This window comes from Homo sapiens, chromosome 16 (genome assembly GCF_000001405.40).
Source record: "Homo sapiens chromosome 16, GRCh38.p14 Primary Assembly".
Lineage (NCBI taxonomy): Eukaryota > Metazoa > Chordata > Mammalia > Primates > Hominidae > Homo > Homo sapiens.
Genome location: NC_000016.10, coordinates 70,345,694 through 70,373,384, shown reverse-complemented (window position 1 = coordinate 70,373,384; position 27,691 = coordinate 70,345,694). Strand labels below are relative to the sequence as shown.

At 47.1% G+C, this 27,691-nt stretch overlaps 1 protein-coding gene and 1 long non-coding RNA gene across 7 annotated transcripts in view, besides 4 other annotated features; one reads left to right on the top strand and one right to left on the bottom strand.

Annotated features, from left to right (window-relative positions):
* Nucleotide 1: 1 nt before the first annotated feature.
* Nucleotides 2-26,482, bottom strand: DDX19A (DEAD-box helicase 19A). Of its 6 annotated transcripts, NM_001320525.2 has the most exons (13): nucleotides 26,337-26,482; nucleotides 22,780-22,828; nucleotides 17,850-17,900; nucleotides 17,138-17,273; nucleotides 16,479-16,539; nucleotides 11,875-11,967; nucleotides 8,740-8,842; nucleotides 8,254-8,368; nucleotides 7,123-7,300; nucleotides 6,524-6,761; nucleotides 3,000-3,162; nucleotides 1,822-2,013; nucleotides 2-1,460 (listed from the first exon to the last, which is right to left on the bottom strand). In NM_001320525.2, the coding sequence occupies exons 5-13, from the start codon at nucleotides 16,499-16,501 to the stop codon at nucleotides 1,399-1,401; spliced, it is 1,167 nt and encodes a 388-aa protein (NP_001307454.1). In that variant the 5' UTR covers nucleotides 16,502-16,539; nucleotides 17,138-17,273; nucleotides 17,850-17,900; nucleotides 22,780-22,828; nucleotides 26,337-26,482; the 3' UTR covers nucleotides 2-1,398. The 6 variants fall into 6 exon arrangements, 5 of the variants coding, with proteins under 5 accessions (NP_001307454.1, NP_001307455.1, NP_060802.1 ...); NM_001320526.2 differs by lacking the exon at nucleotides 16,479-16,539 and having other exon boundaries at nucleotides 11,749-11,967; NM_018332.5 differs by lacking the exon at nucleotides 16,479-16,539.
* Nucleotides 26,238-26,727: an enhancer, noted in NCBI's record as "active region_11053". NCBI's record gives its function as "activates an Ori minimal core promoter by ATAC-STARR-seq in GM12878 lymphoblastoid cells {active_cell/tissue: GM12878}" and the evidence as "EXISTENCE:reporter gene assay evidence [ECO:0000049][PMID:35858748]".
* Nucleotides 26,238-26,863: a biological region, named in NCBI's record as "H3K27ac hESC enhancer GRCh37_chr16:70380425-70381042".
* Nucleotides 26,246-26,863: an enhancer, noted in NCBI's record as "H3K27ac hESC enhancer chr16:70380425-70381042 (GRCh37/hg19 assembly coordinates)". NCBI's record gives its function as "activates a minimal SCP1, AML or CMV promoter by ChIP-STARR-seq in primed H9 embryonic stem cells {active_cell/tissue: H9 hESC(primed)}" and the evidence as "EXISTENCE:reporter gene assay evidence [ECO:0000049][PMID:30033119]".
* The window catches only part of DDX19A-DT (DDX19A divergent transcript), a 31,108-nt gene continuing 30,054 nt past the window's right edge, over nucleotides 26,638-27,691 (top strand). The window contains exon 1 of the long non-coding RNA NR_039997.1: nucleotides 26,638-27,186. This is a non-coding gene — a long non-coding RNA (DDX19A divergent transcript). The remainder of the gene's footprint in view (nucleotides 27,187-27,691) is intronic.
* Nucleotides 26,864-27,482: an enhancer, noted in NCBI's record as "H3K27ac hESC enhancer chr16:70379806-70380424 (GRCh37/hg19 assembly coordinates)". NCBI's record gives its function as "activates a minimal SCP1, AML or CMV promoter by ChIP-STARR-seq in primed H9 embryonic stem cells {active_cell/tissue: H9 hESC(primed)}" and the evidence as "EXISTENCE:reporter gene assay evidence [ECO:0000049][PMID:30033119]".

Below are 27,691 nucleotides of genomic sequence, written 5' to 3'. Positions count from 1 at the left end.
GCCTTTTTAAAATGAGTATATATTTGTCTAATAAGCAGAAAAATACAAATAAAAACAAATCATTAGTAGAGCGTTTCTCATAATTACTTTAAAATGTCTTAGCATAATGAATGGTGCATACGCTACAATTTATCCATCCTTATTTATTTATTGAGTCGGGGTCTCGCTCTGTTACCCAGGCTGGAGTGCAGTGGCGCCATTTCAGCTCACAGCAGCCTCTACCCAGGCTCAAGCGATCCTCCTACCTCAGCCTCCCGAGTAGCTGGGACTACAGGCGTGCGCCACCAGGCCCGGCTATATTTTTTTCTATTTTTGGTAGAGACGGGGTTTCATCATGTTGGCCAGGCTGGTCCCGAACGCCTGAGCTCAACCGATCCGCCCGCCTCAGCCTCCCAACGTGCTGGGATTATAGGCATGAGCCACCACGCCCGGCCTATCCATCCTTATTCATATTATGTAGGAATCAGAGCTCTCCATAATGTCCACTATTATAAATGAACAGCATAATTCCCTTGGTCATAACTTCCATTCCAAATTCTTGCTCAGCTCTCGGCCCCGTGTGACACCTGGGGGTAAGAACCAACTACGTATGCGCTCAGAAACTCACCTGGGGTCTCCTGGCTGCCGTGACTGAGTACCAGGGGCCTAGGCAGAGGGAGCAACCGAGAGAAGAGAAGGCAAGACCAGGCCCAGCCCCTTCATCGGCCCTCGCCAGATCACTCTCTCTCAAGGGGTCAGGATTCAGACTTTCGTGTTTCTCTCCAAATCTGAAGTTTACAAAAGTAGCCGAGCTGCTCATCAGGGATATGCAAGTCTGCTTTCTGCAGCAGAGAACAGAAGTGAAAGGGAGAAGGGATGAGCAAGAAAGTCTCTGGATTTCAGGAGAAGGAAGACAGCCCCAAGGGCAGGAGAAACACTTGTGAAGGGTCCATTGAAGAGACAGAGAGGGGGCAGCTCTGGCCTCTCTGCTGCCACTTCCCTCATTCGATGCACAGCGGTGGGGCTCACACCATTTTCCACTCAGCCTCTTCCGCACAACCTGCACATCTATCGTTTCTTCAGGGGCTGGAGCTGGTTCCACGATGCCTAGCCAAAATCAGGAGGGGGTCCTGGGGCCAGCGACTACCACTGTGACCAGATTATTATAAAGATGGGGGAATGTGGCTTTAAAAAAGTGGGGAAAGGACCCAATTTTCCAAAATGCAAATTTTTTCTTCTATTGCCCCCCATCATTTGCACCTATTTTTGTCAAGTCCAAACATAATTTGAAGTGAGGTAGGTAGTTTCTCTCTACTTCTGCCGTTGTCCTTGGGGTGATGTCGGGGCCTGTGCCCTAAATGCACTTGTCTCCTGTGCAGGGGCAGTGCCAGGGCTGGCATCAGTGGCTGGTGGAGCTTCTCAGTTGGCTATTTTCTCAATCTCGTCCAAATCATCTGTGTCCAATCTTTCTATCTTCTTATCTGGGGGAAAGATACACAAGTCTCTACCCTGCCCAGGAATGTGCCCCACCTCAGGCCACAGCAATCATTCATTCAGGCCCAAAGGCTCCGGGTGCCTAAGCAGGGGGCAGCAGGGCCCCTAGTCACTGACAGCAACAGTCAGAGCCCCACGCCCCGAAGCCCAGTCACAGGGGAGCTGTCCTTGGAGTCCCTGGGTCCTGAAGTCTCCAGGTGTGCTCCCTGAGAACTGCCATATGGTCAGAAAGGAGGGGAGTGTGCTAGGGACAGAGCCTCTCTTGGGGCTACAGAAGATCCTACCCCTTTCACCACCCCGCCCTACTTAGCAAAGGGCGCCAGGCACAGGACCCTCCCCGGGACTCACTAAAATGCTCCTGGATTCTGTTCAGGATGTTCATGCTGTGCTTGCTGTCCACCATGTTCACTGCCAGGCCCCTCTTGCCAAAGCGGCCCGTGCGCCCGATCCGGTGCAGGTAGGTCTCATTGTCAGGATTCCCGTCCTTGTCCACGGGAAGATCAAAGTTGATGACGACAGACACTTGTTCAACATCAATGCCTGCAGGAAGGAGAGTTGGAGGCTGAGAGGACTAAGGACAGGAGACAGAAATCACTGTCATCCATAGGTAGGTCAATGCGTACCAACTTTGGGATAGAGGGAAAGAATTTGGGACAGGCCAACTCTGGGTACAAGAGAGGGCACACATATAGGCAGGCAACAGAACCCAGAGGAAAAGAAGAGAACTTTGGCAAGTGCCAACAAAATCATGAGATCAGTCGGTAATCCTCTGGGAGACACAATGTTCTGGAGATGGGCGCCCCTGGAAGAGTAGGCTCCGTTCTCTACCAGTCAGATGCCTGTACATTTCCTTCCACCAAGTCAGGACTACTGGTTTCTGCGGGAGTTCCTTTTCTTTCTTTCTTTTTTTATTTTTGAGACGGAGTTTCGCTCTTGTTGCCCAGGCTGGAGTGCAATGGCGCGATCTCACTCACCGTAACCTCCACCTCCCGGGTTCAAGCGATTCTCCTGTCTCAGCCTCCTGAGTAGCTGGGATTACAGGCGCATGCCACCACGCCCGGCTAATTTTTGTATTTTTAGTAGAGATGGGGTTTCACCATATTGGTCAGGCTGGTCTCGAATTCCTGACCTCAGGTGATTCGCCCACCTCGGCCTCCCAAAGTGCTGGGATTACAGGCGTGAGCCACTGGGCCTGCCCTCTTCCTTTTTTTTTTTGGAGACAGAGTCTCACTCTGTCACCCAGGATGGAGTGCTATAGCACATTCTCGGCTCACTGCAACCTCTGTCTCCAGGGTTCAAGCAATTTTCCTGCCTTGGGATTGCAGGCATGAGCCACCGCACCTGGCATGTGTGAGTTCTTACCACCTCAGGGAAATCCAAACAGTCTCTCCTAGAAAGGAATAGTGTCACCAACCCCACCCATCTCCCTGAGACCATCCGACTTCCCTGTATACAAGGATTTCTGGCTCTAATTGGGCCTGGGACCCCGAGCCTGGCAGACCAGGTGGGACACGTCCTCTGCTCACCGCGGGCACACACGTTGGTGGTCACCAAAACCTTCTCTTTGCCCTCTCGGAAGCGCTCAATCACCGCAGCCCTCTGCTCCACCATCATCTCCCCACTCAGCAGAGCCACCTGGTGGCCTTCTTTTGAGAGCTCTGCTGCCAGCCAACTAGCTGTTTTGCGAGTCTGGAAGAAAAAAAACAATTGAGAAATGAAAGTATTTGAGTATATATTTTTTCTTTTTGAGACACAGTCTTGCTGTCACTCAGGGTGATCTAAAAAGTCCTGGGCTCAAGTCATTATCCTGCCTTGGCTTCCCAAAGGGCTGGGAGTACAGGTGTGAGGCACCACGCTCAGCTGAAGATATTTTTGATCTGGAAGACTGTACCTGAAACTTAGCAGCTAAAAGCTAAATTTCTTAAAATTGTAAACCCGATATAGTGCAACAGGAAGTAACAATGTCACCTGGCTTGTAATCTTACGAAAATATTTGTACCTGGCTGGGCATGGTGGCTCACACCTGTACTCCTAGCACTTTGGGAGGACGAGGCACGTGGATCGCTTGAACTCAGGAGTTCGAGACCAGCCTGGGGAACATGGCCAAACCTGTCTCTACAAAAAATTTAGCTAGGCATGGTGGTGTAGGCCTGTAAGTCCCAGCTACTTGAGGGAGCTGAGGCAGGAGAATCGCTTAAACCTGAGAGGTCGAGGCTGGTGAGCCAAGATTGCACCATTGCACTCCAGCCTGGGTGACGGAGCAAGACCTTGTCTCCAAAAAAAAAAAAAAAGAAGAAAAGAAAAAAAAAAGAAAATTTATACCACAAAAATATTTAACCTGGGGCAAGATACGGTGGCTCACGCCTATAACCACAGCAATTTGGGAGATCAAGTGAAGGATCACTTGAGCCTAGGAGTAAAAGACTACCCTGGGGGCCAGGCGCGGTGGCTCATGCCTGTAATCCCAGCACTTCGGGAGGCCGAGGTGGGCCGATCGCGAGGTCAGGAGTTCAACACAAGCCTGACCAACATGGTGAAACCCCGTCTCTGCTAAAAATACAAAAATTAGCTGGGCGTGGTGGCATGTGCATGTAATCTCAGCTACTCAGGAAGCCGAGGGAGGAGAATCGCTTGAACCCGGGAGGCAGAGGCTGCAGTGAGCCAAGATCATGCCATTGCACTCCAGCCTGGGCAAGAGGCGAGATTCCGTTTCAAAAAAAAAAAAAAAAAAAAAAAAACCAGATTGGCCGGGCACGGTGGTTCACGCCTGTAATCCCAGCACTTTGGGAGGCCGAGGCGGGCGGATCACCTGAGGTCAGAAGTTTGAGACTAGCCTGACTAATATGGAGAAACCCTGTCTCTACTAAAAATACAAAATTAGCCAGGTGTGGTGGCACATGCCTGTAATCCCAGCTACCCGGGAAGGCTGAGGCAGGAGAATTGCTAGAACCCGGGAGGCAGAGGTTGTGGTGAACCGAGATTGCACCACTGCACTCCAGCCTGGGCAACAAAAGCAAAACTACATCTCAAAAAGAAAAGACTACCCTGGATGCTTCAAGATGTCATTGTAATGAGAGGCAATAAAATAAAGGTGAGGAAATTCTTCTAGATTTAGGAGTCTTAAGAGACATGACAACTAAATGCAACAAGCAAAACTTGACTGGCTCTTGGATTTAACAAAACAAAAAGCAATAAAGATGAGCTGGGCACAGTGCCATGTGCCTGGAGTCCCACCTACTTGGGAGGTTGAGGTAGGAGAATTGCTTGAGCCCAGGAGTTTGAGTCCAGCCTGGGCAAGATAGTGAGACCGTCTAAAAAAAAAAAAAAAGAGTATTTTTTGGCGTCAGGCGCAGTGGCTCATGCCTGTAATCCCAGTACTTTGGGAGGCCATGGCAGTTGGATCACCTGTGGTCAGCAGTTCAAGACAAGCCTGGGCAACATGGTGAAACCCCCTGTACCAAAAATACAAAAATTAGCTGGGCATGATGGCGGGCGCTGGTAATCCCAGCTACTCTGGAGGCTGGGGCAGGAGAATTGCTTGAACCCAGGAGGCGGAGGTTGCAGTGAGCCTAGATCACACCATTGCACTCCAGCCTGGGTGACAGAGCTAGATAGACTCGGTCTCAAAAAAAAAAAGAATACTTTTGGCACAAGTGGAGATAGGAGAACGTGGATTATATTTGAGAGATATATTACTGTTATCACTGTATCATTGCATTGTATGTTTCCTTGTTTTGAGACAGAGTGTTGCTTTATGACCCATGCTAAGTGCAGTGGCGTGATCACAGCTGACTGCAGCCTCTAACTCCTGGGCTCAAGGGATCCTCCCACCTCAGTCTTCCGAGTAGCTGAGACTACAGGTGTGTGCCACCACATCCAGCTAATTTTTTTTAAGTGTTTTAGAAATGGGGTCTCCCGACGTTGCCCAGGCTGGTCTCAAACTCCTGGGCTGAAGCAATCCTTCTACCTTGGCCTCCAAAGGTGTTGGGATTACAGGCGTGAGCCACTAAGCCTGGCCTCTTTTTTTTTTTTTTTGAGACGGAGTCTCGCTCTCTCACCCAGGCTGGAGTGCAGGGGCACGATCTCAGCTCACTGCAATCTCCGCCTCCCAGCTTCAAGTGATTCTGTTGCCTCAGCCTCCCGAGTAGCTGGGATTACAGGCATGCACCACCACACCCAGTTAATTTTGTATTTTTAGTAGAGACGAGGTTTCTCCATGTTGGTCAGGCTGGTCTCCAACTCCCGACCTCAGGTGATCCGCCTGTCTCGGCCTGCCAAAGTGCTGGGATTACAGGCATGAGCCACCGTGCTCCGGTGTCTCTTTTATTCTAAAATCATTTTGACATTTTCTTCAGAGATCTTAAATATTTATTTTTTCTATTATCAATGAGATCTATGCTTCCATTTTCTAAGTATTTGTTGTTTGAGACTGGAAAACTATGTGTGTGAATGTTATGACTATCTTGTTGAACTTTTTTTTTTTTTGAGACGGAGTCTCTCTCTGTTGCCAGGCTGGAGTGCCGTGGTGTGATCTCGGCTCACTGCAAGCTCTGCCTCCCGGGTTCACACCATTCTCCTGCCTCAGCCTCCCGAGTAGCTGGGATTACAAGCGCCCGCCACCACGCCGCGCTAATTTTTTGTACTTTTAGTAGAGATGGGGTTTCACCGTGTTAGTCAGGATGGTCTCGATCTCCTGACCTCGTGATCCACCCATCTCGGCCTCCCAAAATGCTGGGATTACAGGCATGAGCCACCGTACCCGGCCATCTTGTTGAATTTTTTATTTTTCTTACAAATATGAGTTGATTCTCTTGGGTTGTGCAACAATACATCATCCACAAATAAGACATAAAGTTCAGGGGCTCTATCTTTAGGCTATGTATCCCTTGGGATACTACCATTACCCCCACTAAAGGAGAGCCTGTCTCTTACATCTTCAAAAAGCACTTCCCTTCTTTCCATGGCGCTCAGGGGCATCCAGTCCTCCTGAGCCCTGTGGGGAGCTGGCTGAGAGGGAGGGGCCAGGCCTGCCACTGCCGCTGCTACTCACATGGCAGAAGATCATGGCTTGAGCAATGGTGATGGCCCCGTAGAGGTTACACAAGGCCTGGAACTTCTCGTCTCTGCTGCTGCACAGGACATAGTACTGCTTGATGGTATCCAGGGTCTCTTCCTCACGCTTCAGTTTGATAACATTTGGGTCTGGGACCACTTTCTGGGCAAACTTCCACACAGAGTCTTCAAAGGTGGCGGAGAAAAGCAGCATCTGGCAGTTCCTGGGCAGCATCCTGCAAGGGAAGGCCCGGGTAGATGGCCCCAGGTGGCCCTGGGAAGCAACGGAAGCACAGCCTCCCCAGCTGGGAGGGTCTAGATGCCCAGGAAGGCTGATGGGGGAGGAGCATCTTGGGGAGGAGGAGCAGCAGGCCTGGGATGGGGACAAGGGTTGGGGAAGAGTCCCTAGGTCTCCTTTCTCAACCCAGGTTGGGAGGGACTGTGATCAGCGCTGACATGGAAATGGCCCGTCAAACAAATGCTGCTGAGAGTACGAGAGCCAAGACCCAGGCAGAAGCCAGAGGAGGCGTCTGAAGTGAAGGGAGAAGACACTGCAGATGGGGAGTCTGAGGAGTCCCCCACCCTCGAGATCCCTACCTCTGGATGCGGATGCTCTGATCTTGGTGGCCCTGAGTGGCTATCATGACATCAGCCTCATCCAGAACAAACACCTTGATTTTCTTGGGATCAATGAACTTGAGCTTGGAGCACCAGTCCAGCACGGTCCCAGGGGTGCCAATGACAATCTGCTCACTGATCTTCTGGCCTCTTTCCACTGTGGAGACCCAGGTGATTTTCATAGGTATTTCAAAGGCAAAGCCAGCTCTGGAAATCAAAGCCCTGCCCATCCTTCTAGGACTAGGAGAACAAGTTATTTCCAGATTTCAAAACACACATGAGTGTTCCCCTCAGTCTTGGTCTCTTCTGCTGTGAAGTGGGCAGAATGACACCTATCTCAGTGCACTGTGGTCAGGATCAAATCCCACACAGCAATCCTTCAATAAGCATCAGTTCCCTTCTTCTTCCTCCTATAATCCAACATCATCCAACTCTTTTTATGTTTATTTATTTATTTATTTTGAGACAGGGTCTCACTCTGTTGCCCAGACTAGAGTGCGGTGACACAGTCATGGCTCACTGCAGCTTTGACCACACAGGTTCAAGCGATCCTCCTGCCTCAGCCTCCCAAGTAGCTGGGACTACAAGCTGGCACTTCCACGCTTGGCTATTTTTTTTTTTTTATTTTTTGTCTTACTATGTTGCCCAGGCTGGTCTCGAACCATGTGCTCAAGCAGTCCTCCCACCCTGGCCTCCCAAAGGGCTGGGATTGCAGGTGTGAGCCACTGTACCTGGTTTTGCTTACTTTTAAAGAAAGGGAGCTGACCCCAACCTTCCATCCTCAGTCCTGTTAATCCCTCTTTGGTAGCAGGTCCCAGAACTCTGGACGCTAAATTCAAAACTCTACCTTCTGAGCGAAGAACTCTAGATATTAAGAACTCTGTGAGCCATGCGTGGATTTTTTTTTTTAATCAACCGAAAATCTTATTTTAAGACTGAAAAAGACTGTTAACAAATTAGCAGGTATTCAAATAGATTCAAATAGAGCAACACAGTTAGGCTCCAGGGTCAGACTGAATTAGAAAGTTGAATACGGTCATCGCATCTTCAAAATTCAAACGCCCAACCCCCTACCCTGCTCACTGTTCAGTTGTCGCCTGCCGTACTCACATTTATTGCCTCGAACGGCATAGGCAAGCTTCAGTTCTGGGTAAAATTTGCCCATCTGCTCAATCACTTTTCCTGTTTGAAGCGCCAGCTCATATGTTGGGGAGAGGCACAGACACTGACAGAAAAATCATAAAGGATGAGTTTAGGAGAGCCATTTGGTAACAGACCTGAAGGCACCCAGTATGCTGATGTTATTAGCACTTGAATAGCACAGGGAAGCATGTCCTCCCATCCAGGCCCACCTTTCAGCCATAGACTGAAGCCTGCAGCAGGTAGCCCTGGCTTGGCAGAGGCCTTTGCAAGCCATGGTCTAAGGCTGCTGCTTTCAAGCACATTCTCCCAGGTCAGGGCCTGGTGTAGGAACTTGCTCTGCCTGAGCCACAGCCTAAGGTGTCAGAAGCTTCAGACCTCTCGTTACTCCTCACCAGATGGCACTGCGCTCCCCAGGGCAGGCAACCTAGGACACCCAGCCCCGCAAGCCCTCACCTGGGGGTATCTGTCTGATGGCTCCACTCGGCTGAGCATGGCTAAGACAAAGGCAGCTGTTTTACCAGTGCCAGACTGAGACTGGGCAATCAGATTCTGTGGGCTGGATCAAGGAAGAACAGAAATGAAACTTAAATTGGTGAAACTCAGTAACATGTCAAAATGTTCTTTCTGAATGAAAGGCATATTTCCCCCTTCGTGCTTCTCTATATTACCCAGGTTTTCTCCATTGAGCACAAATTACTTTCATACATTTTTTTATACGCTGTTAAAAAGCTGCTTAAATTGTAAAATAAATGATTATTTTAAATGGGCTCACACCAAGAAATTCTCATTCTAGCCTCTAGCACAGCTAAAGGACCCCAGTTTTGCACCCCAAGGGGCACAGGGAAATCAAGTGTGCAGAGTAAGATCTGTGCCCAGACAAGACCCCAGCAATATTTTTGGCTGAGCCATGATGCATTCCCAGAATTTGGTTCCTTCTGTGTGTGCCTTTCCCCAGTTTTATGGACAAGATGCTAAGTCAGGTGGATGTTTTAGAGGGAACTTTTACATTCCATTTTATGGGACCCAGCATCATGGGAATAGGTGGCATGGTTGTCATTAAAAAAGATAAATATGGCTTACGCCTGTCATCCCAGCACTTTGGGAGGCCGAGGCAGGCGGATCACAAGATCAGGAGATCGAGACCACCCTGGCTAACACAATGAAACCCCGTCTCTACTAAAAATATAAAAAATTAGCCGGGCGTGGTGGCGGGTACCTGTAGTCTCAGCTACTGGGAAGGTTGAGGCAGGAGAATGGCATGAACCTGGGAGGCGGAGCTTGCAGTGAGCAGACGTTGCGCCACTGCATTCCAGCCTGGGCGACAGAGCGAGACTCCATCTCACAAAAAAATAAATAAATAAATAAATAAATAAACTAAGGTGGGCAGATCACTTGAGGTCAGGAGTTCGACACCAGCCTGGCCAACATGGTGAAACCCCACCTCCATTAAAAATACAAAAATTAGGCTGGGTGCGGTGGCTCACGCCTGTAATCCCAGCACTTTGGGAGGCTGAGCCAGGCAGATCACGAGGTCAGCAGTTCGAGACCAGCCTGGCCAACGTGGTAAAACCCCATCTCTACTAAAAATACAAAAATTAGCCAGGCATGGTGGCAGGCACCTGTAATCCCAGCTACTCGGGAAGCTGAGCCAGGAGAATCACTTGAACCCGGGAGGCGAAGGTTGCGGTGAGCTGAGACCGCGCCATTGCACTCCAGCCTGGGCAACAGAGCGAGACTTCATCCCAAAAACAAACGAACAGACAAAAAAATACAAAAATTAGCCAGGTGTGGTGGTGTGCGCCTGTAATCCTAGCTACTCAGGAGGCTGAGGCAGGAGAATCACTTGAACCTGGAAGGCAGAGGTTGAAATGAGCCAAGATTGCACCACTGCACTCCAGCCTGGGCGACAGAGGAGACTCCATCTCAAAAAAGAAAAAATGATAAATATGCCAGGTGCAGTAACACATGCCTATAATCCCAACACTTTGGGAGGCTGAGGCTGGAGAATCACTTGAGGCCAGGAGTTTGAGACCAGCCCTGGCAACATAGTGATACCCTGTCTCTACAAATTTTTTTTTTTTTTTTGAGACAGAGTCTTACTCTGTCGCCCAGGCTGGAGTGCAATGGTGTAATCTTGGCTCATTGCAACCTCTGTTTCCTGGGTTCAAGCGATCCTCCCACCTCAGCCTCCCTAGCAGCTGGGATTACAGGTGTGCGCCACCAAGCCCGGCTAATTTTTTTGTATTTTTTGTAGAGACGGGGTTTCACCATGTTGGCCAGGCTGGTCTCAAACTCCTGACCTCAAGTGATCCACCTGCCTCAGCTTCTCAAACTACAAAAAAGTTTTTTTAAAGTCAGCTGGGCATGGTGGCACATGCCTATAGTCCCAGCTACTCCGGAGGCTGAGGTGAGAGGATTAATTAAGCCCAGGAGGTCGAGGCTGCAGTGGGCTGTAATTGCACCACTGCACTCTAGATGGGGAAACAGAATGAGACCCTGTCTCAAAAGGAACTTAGTCTTGTCAGGGTGGGAGAAGGATGTGGAAGGAGGGGAATTCAGGGGCTTCAACTATCAACTGGACCTGCTTCCTTTCTTGGCAGGATAGGGCTACAGAGGTGTTCTTGGTATTGTTCTTTACACCTTTGTGTAGGTCTCAAAAATTTCCAAATAATATTTTGTTTGTTTTTGAATTTATTGCAACACCATTCACATCAAAATAATATTTTTTAAACCCAGTTTTTTTTTTTTTTTTTTTTTTGAGACAGAGTCTATGTTTCCCAGGCTAGAGTGCAGTGGCATGTCTCGGCTCACTGCAACCTCTGCCTCTGGGGTTCAAGCAATTCTCCTGCCTCAGCTACATGACCACAGGTACGTGCCACCATGCCAGGCTAATTGTTGTATTTTTAGTTTAGTTTTTTTTTTTTTTTGAGACAGGGTCTTGCTGTCACCAGGCTAGAGTACAGTGGCACCATCTCGGCTCACTGCAACCTCTGCCTCCCGGGTTCAAGCAATTCTCCTGCCTTAGCCTCCTGAGTAGCTGGGACTACAGGCACATGCCAACAGGCCTGGATATTTTTTTTTTTTTGATTTTAGTAAGACGGGGTTTCACCATGTTGCCCAGGCTGGTCTCGAATTACTGAGCTCAGGCAATCCGCCCACCTTGGCCTCCCAAAGTGCTAGGATTACAGGTTTGGGCCACCGTGCCCAGCTAATTTTGTATTTTTAGTAGAGACAGGGTTTTGCCATGTTGGCCAGGCTGGACTCAATCTCCTGACCTCAGGTGATCCGCCCGCCTCGGCCTCCCAAAGTGCTAGGATTACAGGAGTGAGCCACCATGCCCGGCCTTAAGCCCAGTTTTTAAGATAGCATGGAATAAAGCACTACCTTTCTCTATAAGTTTCTATTGTTAAGTGGGAAAGGCAGAAACTGTAGCTAACTCCATCCGATTCTCTCTGCACTTGCCTAAGCTGTATTCCTGAGGAAACACGTGGCCCCAAACAGCTCCTTCTGTTCTCAGGCACAAAAACGCAGTTTGGGGAAGATTGATCTAATCACACTGGGTGAGATGCGCTTCATCTGCATACTCACGGTTCAGCAAGCATCATGGGTAATGCGTTCTCTTGTATCTTGGAGGGTCGATTGAAGCCCATGGCATAGACTCCCTGGAGAAGCTGTGGTTTCCTAGGAAGCCAGGAAGACAGAGGATGGATGCCTAGAAGTTAGAATTGTTTTAGAGGCCTAGAATCTTATCTTTTTCTATAGAAAGGAATGATGCCTCCTACCTCTGTCAGACGTATTTTCCTATGCCTTAAAAAAACACTGTCAAAAACCAAACCAAATCAAACCAAGCTACCGCCCTTCCCTAAGGAATCTTAATCTGCAACTATTCTATAATTCATAAAATACAGAATGGTTTCTTTTCTTAGAGAAATTAATGCTTTCAGCAGACCCGCAAATCTGGCTGGCCTTGGAAGACAAGTGTTCCCTGGACACAGCAAGGGTGGTGGTTATTAATTCATAGCATTACATAAATTATAAAAGATATATCTAAAAACAGGTCAGGTACAGTGACTCATGCCTGTAATCTCAGCACTTTGGGAGGTCAAGGCAGGCCAACTGCTTGAGGCCAGAAGTTCGAGAACAGCCTGGGCAACATGGTGATACCTCGTCTCTACAAAAAAATACAAAAAATAGCTGGACACACCTGTAGTCCCAGTTACTCAAGAGGCTGAGGTGGGAGGCTCACTTGAGCTCAGGAGGTCAAGGCTGCAGTGATCTGTGACTGAGCCACTGCACTCCAACCAGGGTGACAGAGTGGGACTCTAAAGTAAATAATAAATGAAAATAAACACTATTTACTATACTGCTAAGATTTAGAAGTCCTTTTGTTCCATGTTCCTTCCAAAGCCAGCTATGCAAATACTCCAGACAATCAATAGGTAAGGAAATTGATGGGCTGGGCGTGGTAGCTCACGCCTGTAATCCCAGCACTTTGGGAGGCCTAGGTGGGACGACTGCTTGAGGAGTCCAGGCGTTCAAGACCGGCCTGGGCAACACAGTGAGACCCTGTCTCTAAAACAAAACAAAACAAAACAAAACAAAAAAGAAAAATGAGCTGGGCATGGTGGCATGCACCTGTAGTCCTAGCTACTTGGGAGATTGAGGCAGGAGGATTGCCTGAGGCTAAGAGTTAGAGACTATAGCGAGCCATGATTGCCCCGCTGCACTCTGGGCTGGGCAACAAGGCCAGGTCATCTCTTAAAAAAAAAAAAAAAAAGAAAGAAAGAAAGAAAAAAGAAAAAAAAAATTTTTTTTTTTGAGATGGAGTCTTGCTCTGTTGCTCAAGCTAGAGTGCAATAGCGTGATCTTGGCTCACTGCAACCTCTGCCTCCTGGGTTCAAGCGAGTCTCCTACCTCAGCCTTCTGAGGAGCTAGGATTACAGGCGCATACTGCCACACCTGGCTAATTTTTGTATTTTTAGTAGAAACAGGGTTTCGCCATGTTGGCCAGGCTGGTCTTGAACTCCTAATCTCAGGTGATCCACCTGCCTCGGCCTCCCAAAGTGCTAGGATTACAGGCGTGAGCTGTAGCGCCCGGCCATAAAAAAAGAAAATTGATGAAGCCAGTTTCTAGTAGCTGATATACAGTAAATAAAGGTGGTTCGATTAACCTACTAAACTTTACAAATGCTCAGATTCACTTAGGTCTAATCAAAATAAACAGACAAACACTAACTACTTCTTTCTGAGAGACGTTCTCACTCTGTCGCCCAGGCTGGAGTGCAGTTGTGTGAACTGGGCTCACTGCAACCGACACCTCCCAGGCCTCAAGAGATCCTCCCACCCTTGAGTAGCTGGGGCTGCAGGCACATGCCACCACACCCGGCTAATTTTTTTTTATTTTTTGTAGAGATAAGGTTTCACCATGTTGCCCAGGCTGGTCATGAACTTCTGAGCTCAAGAGATCCACTCACCTTAGCCTCCCAAACTGCTGGGATTACAGGCGTGAGCCACCGCACCTGGACACCAACTTCTTATGTAAACAGCTACACAAGAATTATCAATTTAAGTTGCTCTTACATTGCATTTACAATCAGCTCTCTGCTACCTCTAAATTGACAAGATGTTTAAGAAAAATCATACCAGATTGTTTCTAAAGAAAAGGCAACCCAACTGTTCTCTAAGCCTTCCTTGGAGTTTAGCAGGCTCTCTAAAAGGCAAATTCTCTGGCGTATGTTGGTTCTCAGACACAAAGAAATTTAAAAACATAATCTTTCATATCTTCCATTTGGGAGAAAATGCTGTGACACTCGGCAGCTTCTGACTTGGTTGCCAAGGAAACAAAGTCACTACCTTAATTGGGACTCAAATGATCCAACAGCTTCCACTGACTCAGTTTTCTTTGATTTTGCAGATTAACTCAAATATTTTAGGTACAAAGCAGACCAAGTACATTAGGTGATCTTGGTTTCATTCTTTGTTTCCTTTTCCTACCAACAACTAAATCAGAGAGAACCTGTCTTTTACAGAGGACAATTCATCAGTGGTTAAACTGAGAGCTCACGTCTTCTAAAGGGAAGAAATTTAAAAAGGCAGTTGATACTTGGAGGAGCAAACTGTCACTCTAAGGAAATCATACCACATGTCTAGCTGTCCTGATACAGCTTAAAAATAAAAGTGGAGATGACAGATTTGGTGAATAAAGTCCTTGACAGAGAAAACACATAGAAAAGCATAATTTCCGTTTGAGAAGGAGTTTCGCTTTTATCTCCCAGGCTGGAGTGCAACGAACGGCATGATCTCGGCTCACTGCAACCTCCGCCTCCTGGGTTCAAGCAATTCTCCTACCTCAGCCTCCTGAGTAGCCGGGACTACAAGCCATGTGCCATTACAGCCGGCTAATTTTTTTGTATTTTTAGTAGAGATGGGGTTTCATCATTTTGACCAGTCTGGTCTCGAACTCCTGACCTCAGACAATCCACCTGCCTTGACCTCCCAAAGTGCTGTGATTATAGGCGTGAGCCACCGTGCCCGACCTAAAGTATAACTGTTTAAAAATACATTTTTGGTCTGGCCTGGGCAACATGGTAAAACCTCATCCTATTAAAAAAAAAAAAAAAAAGTTATTGGGCCAGGTGCAGTGGCTCACACCTGTAATCCTAGCAATTTTGGAGGCTGAGGCAGGAGGACTCTTTGACCACAGGAGTTCAGGAGCAACCTGGCCAACACAGTGACACCACATCTCTATTTTTAAAAATAAAAAAATAAGGCTGGGTGCAGTGGCTCATGCCTGTAATCCCAGCAGCCTGGGAGGTTGAGGCGGGCAGATCGCTTGAGGCCAGGAGTTTGAGACCAGCCTGGCCAACATGATGAAACGCTGTCTCTACTAAAAATACCAAAATTAGCCAGGTGTGGTGGCTCAGGCCTGTAATCCCAGCTACGTGAGAGGCTGAGGAACGAGAATCGCTTGAACCCGGGAGGTAGAGGTTGCAGTGAGCCAAGATTGTGCCACTGCGCTCCAGCCTGGGCAACAGAGTGAGACAGTCTCAAAAGTAAATAAATAAATGAATAGAAATAAAAAATAAAAATAAAAAATTGTTCTTCAAGATTACTTAACAACTAGTTAGCTTTCTTGTTTTAAGTGTCTCTTTCTCAGTGGTAATAGCTGGAAGGAATGTGGCTTCAATTTGTCCATAGTGGCCATACTATAGATTTTGCTGAACTAAGGCAAAGAATCCATTGATTCCACCATATTCTTATTCATCAGCTACTTTCTATGATTGTGATCCTGGCAGGCAGCAAGAATAATAAGTAGGTCTTGTGTTCCTTGTAACATCCAGCACAGTGGCATGTATATAACACAATGATCCACACTTAATCCTCTATTAATTTACTGAAGTAAACCTAAAACGTAAGGCCGGGCACAGTGGGTCATGCCTGTAATCTCAGCACTTTGGGAGGCCGAGGCGGGCAGATCATGAGATCAGGAATTCGAGACCAGCCTGCCCAACATAGTGAAACCCTGTCTCTTCTAAAAATACAAAAATTAGCTGGGTGTTGTGGCACACGCCTGTAGTCCCAGCTAACTCGGGAGGCTAAGGCAGGAGAATCGCTTGGACCTGGGAGGTGGAGGTTGTGGTGAGCTGAGATCACGCCACTGCACTCTAGCCTGTGCAACAGAGCACGACTTGGTCTCAAAAAAAAAAAAAAAAAAAAAAAAAAAAAAAAAAAACAAACCAAAAACAGATTTGACAGATTTTTTAAAAAGCAGATAAACTGTAAGACTGTAAACCCTATAGTCTAAATATACATATATATATATATATATTTTTTTTTTTTTGAGAGAGAGTCTCGCTCTGTTGCCCAGGCTGGAGTGCAGTGGCACGAACTTGGCTTACTGCAACCTCCGCCTCACAGGTTCAAGTGATCTCCTGCCTCAGCCTCCGCCTCCTGAGTAGCTGAGATTACAGGCCTGTGATATCACACCTGGCTAAGTTTTGAGTTTTGTATTTTTAGTGGAGACAGGGTTTCACCATGTTGGTCAGGCTGGTCTTGAACTCCTGACCTTGTGATCTGCCTGCCTTGGCCTCCCAAAGTGCTGGGATTACAGGTGTGAGCCACTGTGCCTGGCCTTTTTTTTTTTTTTTTGTAAAAAAAAAACAAATAGCACATGTTCTCACTTAAGGGCTTACCTAATCAGAAATGTTCCTGACATCCAGAAATCACCTGTCAGCCAATATTTTATTGAAAGTTCTAAGAGTATAAGAGAAATAAGACTTTTAGCTATGATAAATCAATTTGAAGCATTAAAAAATTCCTACCAAGAGAACAGGATAGCCAAGGACACAAGGGTGGGAGATTAATACTGCAAATTTTTTCATACTTTTTGACTTTTGAATCATGTGACTTATTCATGTGACTTCTTTTCAAAGAAAAAAAATAGCCAGGCACGGTGGCTCACGCCTGTAATCCCAGCACCTTGAGAGGCCGAGGCAGGCAGATCACCTGAGGTCAGGAGTTCAAGACCAGCCTGGCCAACATGGTGAAACCCCGTCTCTACTAAAAATACAAAAAATTAGCTTGACATGGTGGTGGGCGCCTGTAATCCCAGCTACTTGGGAGGCTGAGGCAGGAGAATCGCTTGAACCCGGGAGGCAGAGGCTGCAGTGAGCTGAGATCACGCCATTGCACTCCAGGCTGGGCAACAGGAGCGAAACTCTGTCTCGAAAAAAAAAAGGAAAAAATACACTAAATTTTTAAAAGTAAAATTCTCACAAGAATCTCTCAGATGCTAAGTTTTATGTGGGGAGAGACTGGCAACGAAGAGCTGTTGAAAGGAGCGAATACTCACAGCCGAAGCTCTTCAAACGACTTCACCGAGTACAGAGGGGAGTTTGGATCCCGTTGCAGGACTTCCACTTGGTTTGTGTTATCAACAAGGTTGCTTCTGATCAGCTTGTTGAGTAAGGACTGGGCAGCTCTGTCCTCTGTCAGGAAGAAACCAGTAGATCTTCATACTCATCTGGCAAACCCCAGGCTTATGAAGCCACTCTTTCTCCCTCTCCACACTAGCACCTGGGCAGTCAAGCACGGCTGGAGAAAAACCATCACACTGATAGGTCTCTATTTATTTATTTTAGAGATGGGGTCTTGCTGTCACCCAGGCTGGAGTGCAGTGGAGCAATCAGAGCTCACTGTAGTCTAGAATTCCTGGGCTCTGGCAATCGTCCCACCTCAGCCTCCCAAGTAGCTGGGAGTACAGGTGTGTGCTACCACACCCAGCTCATTTTGAAATCTTTTGTAGAGATGGGGTCTCAGTATGTTGCCCAGGCTGGTCTTGAACTCCTGGCCCAAAGGAATCCTCCCACCTCGGCCTCCCAAAGTGCTGGGATTACAGGTGTGAGCTACCGCTTTCGGACTTGTTTTGTTCTCCTCCTCTCACTGACTATTCCTTCTCTGATTCCTCTCATCTCCTGGATCTTGTAGCTTGGAGTGCCCCTGGCTCCAGGAAGGCAAGCCCTGGGTCATACCGTCTCTTGCCAAGGGCATCCAAAAGTAGTTACCTTTCTCCTCTTCATCTGTTTTCTCGGCAGTGGTACTGGTTTTGATAATACCTACACAAGAAAACAATTGTCATAATTAGAAAGGCAAATATGAGAACCACCAAAAATGTGGGACAATATAAATAAATACACTGAAATTTATTTTATTTTTTTATTTTTCAGACGGAGTTTTCCTCTTGTAGCCCAAGGCTGGAGTGCAATGGCGCAACCTTGGCTCACTGCAACCTCCACCTCCTGGGTTCAAGCAATTCTCCCGCCTCAGCCGCCTGAGTAGCTGGGATTAGGCACGCACCACCATGCCTGGCTAATTTATGTAATTTTAGTAGAGACGGGGTTTCACCACGTTGGCCAGGATGGTCTTGAACTCCTGACCTCGATCAAGTGATCCGCCCACCTTGGCCTCCCAAAGTGCTGGGATTACAGGCGTGAGCCACAGCGTCCAGCCTGAAAAGTTATTTTAAGTAATCAAAATATAAATAGTTGGCATTTCTTTATGTTTAGTGAATTTTTATTTCTAGAAATTTTTTTTTTTTTGAGACAGGGTCTCCCTCTGTTGCCCAGGCTAAGGTGCAGTGGTGCAATCATAGCTCACTACAACCTCAACCTCCTGAGCTGAAGTGATCCTCCCACCCCAGGCTCCCACTTAGCTGGGACTACAGGTGCATGCCACCACATCCTCCTGCCTTAACCTCCTGAGTAGCTAGCACTACAGGCATGCACCACTATTCCCAGCTAATTTAAAACAAAAATATTTTCGTAGAGATGGAGTCTTGCCATGTTGCCCAGCCTGTTCTCAAATTCCTGGCCTCAAGTAATCCTCCTGCCTTGGCCTCCCAAAGCACTAGGATTACTGGCATGAACTACTATACCTGGTGAAAAATTTTAAATTTCTAGAAATTTTGACTAATTTCAGACAGATCAGAATATGTTACCTCTTACTAGCCCTACTTTAAAATACAGCCTTATTAGCAAACATAGTCTACCATTTTTTACCTATCAGATTGGCAAATTCTAAAAGTTTGACTATTAATTCTGTGATGAGATTGTAGGGAAACACTCTCATTCTTGCTGATGGAAATATTAATTGGTGGCTGGGCACAGCGGCTCATGCCTGTAATTCCAGCACTTTGGGAGGCTGAGGCGGGTGGATCACCTGAGGTCGGGAGTTTGAGACCAGCCTGACCAACATGGAGAAAACCTGTCTCTACTAAAAAATACAAAATTAGCTGGGTGTGGTGGCGCATGCCTGTAATCCCAGCTATTCGGGAAGGCTGAGGCAGGAGAATCGCTTGAACCTGGGAGGCGGAGGTTGCAGTGAGCTGAGATTACGCCATTGCACTCCAGCCTGGGCAACAAGAGCAAAGCTCCGTCTCAAAAAAAGAAAAAAAAAAACCCCAGAAATATTAATTGGTATAATACCTAAGGAAAAGACTTTGAAAATACTGACAAAAATTGCAAATGTCAGCCTGGGCAACATAGCAAGACCTAGTCTCTACTAAAAATTTAAAAAATTAGCCTATAATCCCAGCTATTCAGGAGGCTGAGGCAGGAGAACAGCTTGAGCCCAGGAGTTTGAGCCACTGCACTGCAGCCTGGGTGACAGAGCAAGAGCCTGTGTTTTTTTTTTTTTTTTTTGAGACAGAGTCTCACTCTGTTGCCCAGGATGAAGTGCAGTGGCACGATCTCGGCTCACTGCAACCTTTGCCCCCCAGGTTCAAGTGATTCCTCTGCCTCAGCCTCCCGAGTAGCTGGGACTACAGGCATGCACCACCATGCCCGGGCAATTTTTGTATTTTTAGTAGAGACAGGGTTTCACCATATTGGCCAGGCTGGTCTCAAACTCCCGACCTCAGGTGATCCACCCGCCTCAGCCTCCCAAAGTGCTGGAATTACAAGCATGAGCCGCTGTGCCCGGCCACCAATTAATATTTCCATCAGCAAGAATGAGAGTGTTTCCCTACAATCTCATCACAGAATTAATAGTCAAACTTTTAGAATTTGCCAATCTGATAGGGCTGACCTCATGATCTGCCCGCCTCGGCCTCCCAAAGTGCTGGGATTACAGGCATGAGCCACTGTGTCCAACCTACAAGATCACGTCTTAAAAAAAATTTTAAAAAAAGGCCAGGCGTGGTGGCTCGTGCCTGTAATCCTAGCACTTTGCGAGGCCAAGCGAGCGGATTGCCTGAGCTCAGAAGTTCAAGAGCAGTCTGGGTAATACGGTGAAACCCTGTCTCTACTAAATACAAAAAATTAGCTGGGCATGCAAGGCAGGCACCTGTAATCCCAGCTACTCGGGATGCAGAGACAGAAGAATTGCTTGAACCTGGCAGGCAGAGGTGGCAGTGAGCCCCCACTGTACTCCAGCCTGGGCAACAGAGAATCCATCTCAAAGAAAAAAAAAAAGAAAGAAAGAAAAAATCGCAAATGCATATACCTTTGACCTAGCAAATCCATTTTTGGGGAATTTATCCTACAGACACTTGCATACATGTAAAAAGAGCTAAGTTCATGGTTATTTCATGAAGCATTATTTATAATAGCAAAAGAATGGGACCACCCAAACATCTATGATTGCTTTAAAAATCATGGTATATCAGCCAGATGCGGTGGCTCAAGCCTGTAATCCCAGCACTTTGGGAGGCTGAGGTGGGCGGATCACCTGAGGTCAGGAGTTCGAGACCAGCCTGACCAAGATGGAGAAACCCCATCTCTACTAAAAAAACACAAAATTAGCCAGGCGTGGTGGCACATGCCTATAATCCCAGCTACTTGGAAGGCTGAAGCAGGAGAATCGCTTGAACCCCGGAGGTGGAGGTTGCGGTGAGCCGAGATCACATCATTGCACTCCAGCCTGGGCAACGAGTGAAACTTCATCTCAAAAAAAAAAAAAAAAAAAAATCGTGGTAGATCGACACAATGCAGTATCACATAATTATAAAACACAAGGAAGGGCCAGGCACAGTGGCTCACGCCTGTAATCCCAGCACTTTGGGAGGCCGAGGCGGGCAGATCATCAGGTCAGGAGTTCAAGACCAACCTGGCCAACATGGTGAAACCCCGTCTCCACTAAAAATACAAAAATTAGCTGGGCATGATGGCGGACACCTGTAATCCCAGCTATTCAGGAAGCCGAGGCAGGAGAATCGCTTGAACCCGGGAGGCGGAGGTTGGAGTGAGCCAAGATTGCACCACTGCACTCCAGCCTGGGTGACAGAGAAAGACTCTGCCTCAAAAAAAAAAAAAAAAAAAGACATGGATGAAACTGCATGTATTGATATGGAAAGTTTGCCAAGGGATACTGTTGAGTGAAAAAGTAAGTATACTGTATATATCACGCCACGTTTTGGTTGAGAGAGAGAATATGAGAATCTACACTTATATTTGCTTTGCATAAAGTCTTTGGAAGAATATTAAAAATCCATGAACAGTGGCTACTTATGGGATAGGATGGTGTTATGAGCTGAATTGTGTGTGGCCCGCTGACCTCAAACTCATATATTCAAGTCCTAACCAGTACCTCAGAATGTGACCTTATTTTGAAATAGGGTTGCTACAGCTGTAGTTAAGATGAGGTCACTAGGGTGGGCCCTAATCCTTGTACTTTATTATACTTTCTGAGTTTTGAACCCAGATTCACTTTTCAAAAAGTTAAAAAATTTACCTCATGCAGGATCTGGATTTTATTTAAAAAAATAAAATAAAATTGGCCGGGCGTGGTGGCTCACACCTGTAATCCCAGCACTTTGGGAGGCCAAGCGGGGTGGATCACGAGGTCAGGACATCGAGACCATCCTGGCTAACACGGTGAAACCCTATCTCTACTAAAAATACAAAAAAAAAATTAGCTGGGCATGGTGGCGGGCGCCTGTAGTCCCAGCTACTTGGGAGGCTGAGGCACAAGAATGGCGTGAACCTGGGAGGCGGAGCTTGCAGTAAGCCGAGATCACACCACTGCACTCCGGCCTGCGTGGCAGAGTGAGACTGTCTCAAAAAAAAATAAAAATAAATAAATAAATAATAAAATTAGGCCAAGTGCAGTGACTCATGCCTGTAATCCCAGCACTGTGGGAGGCTGAGGCAGGCAGATCGCTTGAGCTCAGGAGGTCAAGACCAGCCTGGGCAATATGACAAAGCCCCGCCTCTACTAAAAATATAAAAAATTAGCCAGGTGTGGTGGTGGATGCCTGTAGTCTCAGCTACCTGGGAGGCTGAGGTGGGAGGATCTCTTGAGCCTGGGTGGCAGAGGTTGCAGTGAGCCAAGATCACGCCACTCCACTCTAGCCTGCACGACAGAGTGAGACCCTGTCTCAAATAAAATTTTAAAAATCTAATATAAAAAATAAAAAATTTAGGCCGGGCACAGTGGCTCACACCTGTAATCCCAGCACTTTGGGAGGCTGAGGTGGGTGGATCACGAGGACAGGAGATCAAGACCATCCTGGCTAACACGGCGAAACCCTATCTCTACTAAAAATACAAAAAAAAAAAAACTAGCGCGTGGTGGCAAGCGCCTGTAGTCCCAGCTACTCGGGAGGCTGAGGCAGGAGAATGGTTATGAACCCAGGAGGCAGAGCTTGCAGTGAGCCAAGATTGTGCCACTGCACTCCAGCCTGGGCGACAGAGCGAGACTCCGTCTCAAAATAAATAAATAAATAAATAAATAAATAAATAAATAAATAAATAATTTGCCAAAATATTATCAAATGAACAGTAGCAGTACAATCCAATAGAGAGACTCTTAATTTTAAGAAGTCAAAGGATAAAATGTGGAAAATCGACATATCCCTTCAGTAACAAAATCTAATTCACTGGCTTGTAAACAGCTGAAGTTTACACGAAATGACAGCTCTTTGTACAATGCAGCTATGAGTGCAAAGCAGCGGCCCACATGGAACTCTTTTCTAGCTTGTAGTTACTAGTGACTCACCATTGGTATCTGCTTTGACTTTCTCTTCCTTGATCTGCAAATTGGTCATCTGAATAGAAATAAAAGAAAACAGAGTTAAGCAAAGGACCCAATAAAAGGAAGGTCCCTAAGAAAAGAAAAACTTTCTAGTAAAAGTCTAGTGTGAAACTTTCAGCACCAGTATTCAGGGAGTCGGTTTGTTCCCTCAAAGTAGAGTTGCTGAAAGTCTGTGTGAAACCATCATTTCAAATATCTTCAACAGCCTTAAAACAAGGGGAGGGGTGGACTAAATATAATGGTTGGGGGGAAAGTTTCAGAAAACCTCAACCTCTGCTCATCTCCCAACTCAAGTTCTTTCTATTTATTTATTTTCTGAGACAAGGTCTCACTCTGTCACCTAGGCTGGAGTACAGCAGCACGATCATGGCTCACTGCGGCCTCAACCTCCTGGGTTCTAGCGATCCTCCCACCTCAGCCTCCCTAGTAGCTGGGAACACAGGTGTGGACCACCATGCCTACTTGAACTCAAACTCGAACTCCTGGGCTCAAGCAATCCTCCCACCTTGGCCTCCCAAAGCACTGGGATTACAGGTGTGAGTCACTGCACCCAGCCTTCTGTCACTTTCATTGGTTATCTCTACACTAGAGAGCAGAACCACATGATAACCTAAGACCATGAATCATTTATTAAGTGAAGGTACACAAGTCTACATGGTGAAAAAAAAGGTCTTCTCCAACTATTAGGAAGCCTTTATTTATACCAGCCTTCTGATAAGCTGGATGCTTAGAACCAGATACCAAGTATGTTTAGGCCTATATTTGTGATATTCATGTCACAGCTAGGTTAGGATCACAGATTTCACAAGGTTTGAAACCAATTCTCAGTAACTCTTTCAGAGAAGATCTGATGCTAAACGCTAGATTTTAAACTCCAGAGTGCAAGGACCATGCCCTTGATAATGCTTTGTAATTTCTTTGTGGAAACTGCCAGTTTTATACCTCTGACCTGCTCCTTCTCCTGAACTCCAGTGCTGTATTTCCAAATGTCTGATGGCTACCGGGCAGAAGAGAACACAGCAGGCCTGACCGCTCTCCTTAGGAAAGCCTATTTGCAAGGCTGGCCCTTGGCTGTCACCTGCGAACTTGGACTTTGGGAAGGTTCCCATCATTCCTAGAACTGATAAGAGGGGGTCAGTCTGCCTCAACTCTTTTTAAAAACAGTTGCATGTAATTTATGCTAACCACCTGCATTCCTTCTGGAAGTCTGGAATTCTGGTACATGCTAGGCACAGGGTGACTATATGACAGCCCCCCAATAAAAGCCTCAAGTAGAGTCTCTAACAAGCTTCCCTGACACCACTTCATATGTGCTGTTACAATTTGCTACCGGAAGAATGAAGCACACTCTGTGGACTCCATTGGGAGATAACTTGGAAGTTTGCCTGGTTTCCTCTGGACTTAGCCCATGAGCCTTTTTCCTCCACTAATTTTGCTTTGTATCTTTTCACTATAATAAATCATAGTTGTGAGTACAACTACATACTGAGCCTGTGAGTTCTCCTAACAAATCGTCAAACCTGGCATCTCTTGGGGACTCCCACAACAGGTACTTACCAAGATGTTTCCTTATTTTAAATTCAGAACAGCCAAACCTGAACTCACCATTCCCTTTTTTCTTTTTTTGAAACAGGGTCTCACCGTCACCCATGCTGGAGTGCAGTGGTGTGATCACAGCTCACTGCAGCCTCAACCTCCCTAGGCTCAGGTGATCCTCCCACCTCAGCATCCTGAGTAACTGGGACTACAGGAGTGTACCACCACCCCGCCCAGCTAATTTTTTTTGTATTTTTGTAGAAATGGGGTTTCGCCATGTTGCCCACACTGGTCTTGAACTCCTGGGTTCAACTGATCTGCCTGTCTCAGTTTCCCAAAGTGCTAGGATTACAGGTGTGAGCCACTGTGCCCAGCCTTCACCTCTTTTTTTTTTTTTTTTTTTTTTTGAGACAGAGTCTCACTCAGTAGCCCAGGCTGGAGTGCAGTGGCGTAATTTTGGCTCACTGCAACCTCCACCTCCCAGGTTCAAGCAATTCTCATGCCTCAGCCTCCTGAGTAGCTGGTATTAACAGGGGACGACTACCACGCCTGGCTAACTTTTGTATTTTTAGTAGAGACAGGGTTTCACTATGTTGGCCAGGCTGGTATCAAACTCTTGACCTCGAGTGATCTGCCCGCCTCGGCCTCCCAAAGTGCTGGGATCACAGGTGGGTGCCATCATGCCCGGCTGCCTTCACCATTCTATCAAATCTGCCCTTCCTCCCACTTTCCTATTCCTGTTATTGGGACGTTAGTAGTACCAATAGGATCCAGGTTGAAAACAGAAACCTTTGGCTTTATCTCCCTTCTCTCCTTTATTATGTTAGCAAGTCCTACCCATTCTACCTTCATATCTTATACCCATCCCTTAATTTTCACTTCCACTGCCCAACATAGGCCCTCTATCTCGGGGCTATCAGAATAACTTCTACACTGATATTTCTATTAGCCATCACTTCTAACATATTCTGTTCTCTGTAGTTCAATAAATCCTTGCCAGCCTTGTCTAATTCTGTCAATAGCCCTCTCAAAAATCCCCATACCGGCTGGGCGCGGTGACTCACGGCTGTAATCCCAGCACTTTGGGAGGCCGAGGTGGGCGGATCACTTGAGGTCGGGAGTTCGAGACCAGCCTGACCAACATGGAGAAACCCCGTCTCTACAAAAAATACAAAATTAGCCGGGCGTGGTGGCGCATGCCTGTAATCCCAGCTACTCGGGAGACTGAGGCAGGAGAATCGCTTGAACCCGGGAGGCGGAGGTTGCGGTGAGCCGAGATGGCGCCATTGCACTCCAGCCTGGGCAACAAGAGCAAAACTCTGCCTCAAAAGAGAAACAACTACAACAAAAAAAAAGACAGTCCATTATCACTAAACAAACCTAAAGTTTAGGTCTTAGATATAAGAACAGAAAGCCACAGTGTATGCTGTAATTACATTCCAGTTGAATGAATATTCATTACTGAAAGAACAAGTACATGAAACCGTTACTTTACACATCAATGAAACAATTTGTAGTGCCTCCTTCCAACATCTGCAGTAGATTGAGGTATTAAATCCAAAAGTCAATCTGTTATTCTGCAAAGAGCTACAAACTACCAACCACGTTAAGCATGGATCTAAGAAATGTTAAATACAGAGTAGTACAGAAACATGCGAAGAACAGTCGCGTAATGAAAAAGAGAATCAGAATCTAAACTTGGCTTTCCTTATAATCGTCACCGAGGAGGTCAATAGAGGAATGACAGCATGCATAGTGGGGCGGATTTACCAAAGGATGAAGTCCTTAACCAGCCCAGATGGAGATAAAAAGCTCGACATTGGTCTCTTTAGCTCTAAGAGCAAATCAAGGGCAAGTGACTGCCCTAGCAAACTGCAGGAGCGCGTTGCCCAGGGGCCTCCCCAACCCGGGGAGCTCCCTGTGCTTTTGGGAGGTTTCGCTTGGGCCCCTGCTACGTCCTCCTCGCCAGGAGCTGAGCTACTGACCGACTTGACAGCCGCTTCCTGCTCGTCCACCGCCAGGGCCCACGAGTCGGTGGCCATAGTCCCGGACAAGGGAGACCCACTTGTGAAAATATGCGCTGCACCACGTCGCAACGCGGGCCCTAACCTCGCCACCGGCGCGAGAATGCACCTCACGCGGACCGGAAGCGGCGGTGAGCACAGGTGACGTCAGTTCCCACCCAGCGTGCGACATCATCATTCTGCGCGGCGCCAGGTCTCTCCTCGGGCCTCGCCTTTCCCTTCGTGCGCAAACCTCGCGCTTTTTGCTCACCCTTCCAGGACGCGGCCTCCTCGCTTCTTAAAATGTCTGAGCTCTACGAAGTGGAACTGTTAGCCCTCCGTTTATTGCCTTACTTCACACTGAAATAAGCCAACGTTTATTTTATTTTATTTATTTTATTATTTATTTTATTATTTTTTTTCGAGACGGAGTCTCGCTCTGTCCCAGGCTGGAGTGCCGTGGCGGGATCTCGACTCACTGCAACCTCCGCCTCCGTGTTCAAGCTATTCTACCTCAGCCTCCCGAGTAGCTGGGATTACAGGTGCCCGCCACCACGCCCGGCTAATTTTTGTATTTTTAGTAGAGATGGGGTTTCACCATGTTGGCCAGGCTGATCTCGAACTGCTGACCTTGTGATCCTCCCGCCTCAGCCTCCCAAAGTGTTGGGATTACAGGCGTGAGCCACCGCGCCCGGCCCCCAACGTTTCTTTTTAAGCCTGTCATATCTCACATTAAATGTGTAAGTCTCTGAACTGTAGGGCTTTGAACAAAGGAAAGTTCCATGAGAATACTATATGATGCCAATTTCTACTGTTAGGAACGCGATAACAGGTAAGAAAACAAAAACCAAAACGCAACAGAAGACCCGTAAACCCCATAATTCCACCATCCAATAAACACAACACACAATGCGTTTTTTCGTTTCTTTTTTGAGTCAGGGTCTCATTGTGTCGCCCAGGCTGGAATGCAGTGGTGTGATCTCGGCTCACTGCACCCTTGACCTCCCACCTCAGCCTCCCAGGTAGCTGGGCCCACAGGCCCGCACCACCACTCCTGGCTAGTTTTTAAACTTTTTGCAGAGACGGAAGTCTTCATTATATTGCTCAGGCTGCTTTTGATCTCCTGCTAACTCCAGAGATCCTCCTGCCTTGGCCTCTCAAAGTGTTGGGATTACAGGCATGAGCCACCACACCTGGCCATTATGTTGAAGGACCACCAAATACATAATGTATAATCTATTTATATGAGATTCAAGAATAGGACAAATAAAATCTATGCTGATAAAAACTAACAGAGCTTACCTGTGGAGAAGGATGTTTGGTCCAGACACAAGAGA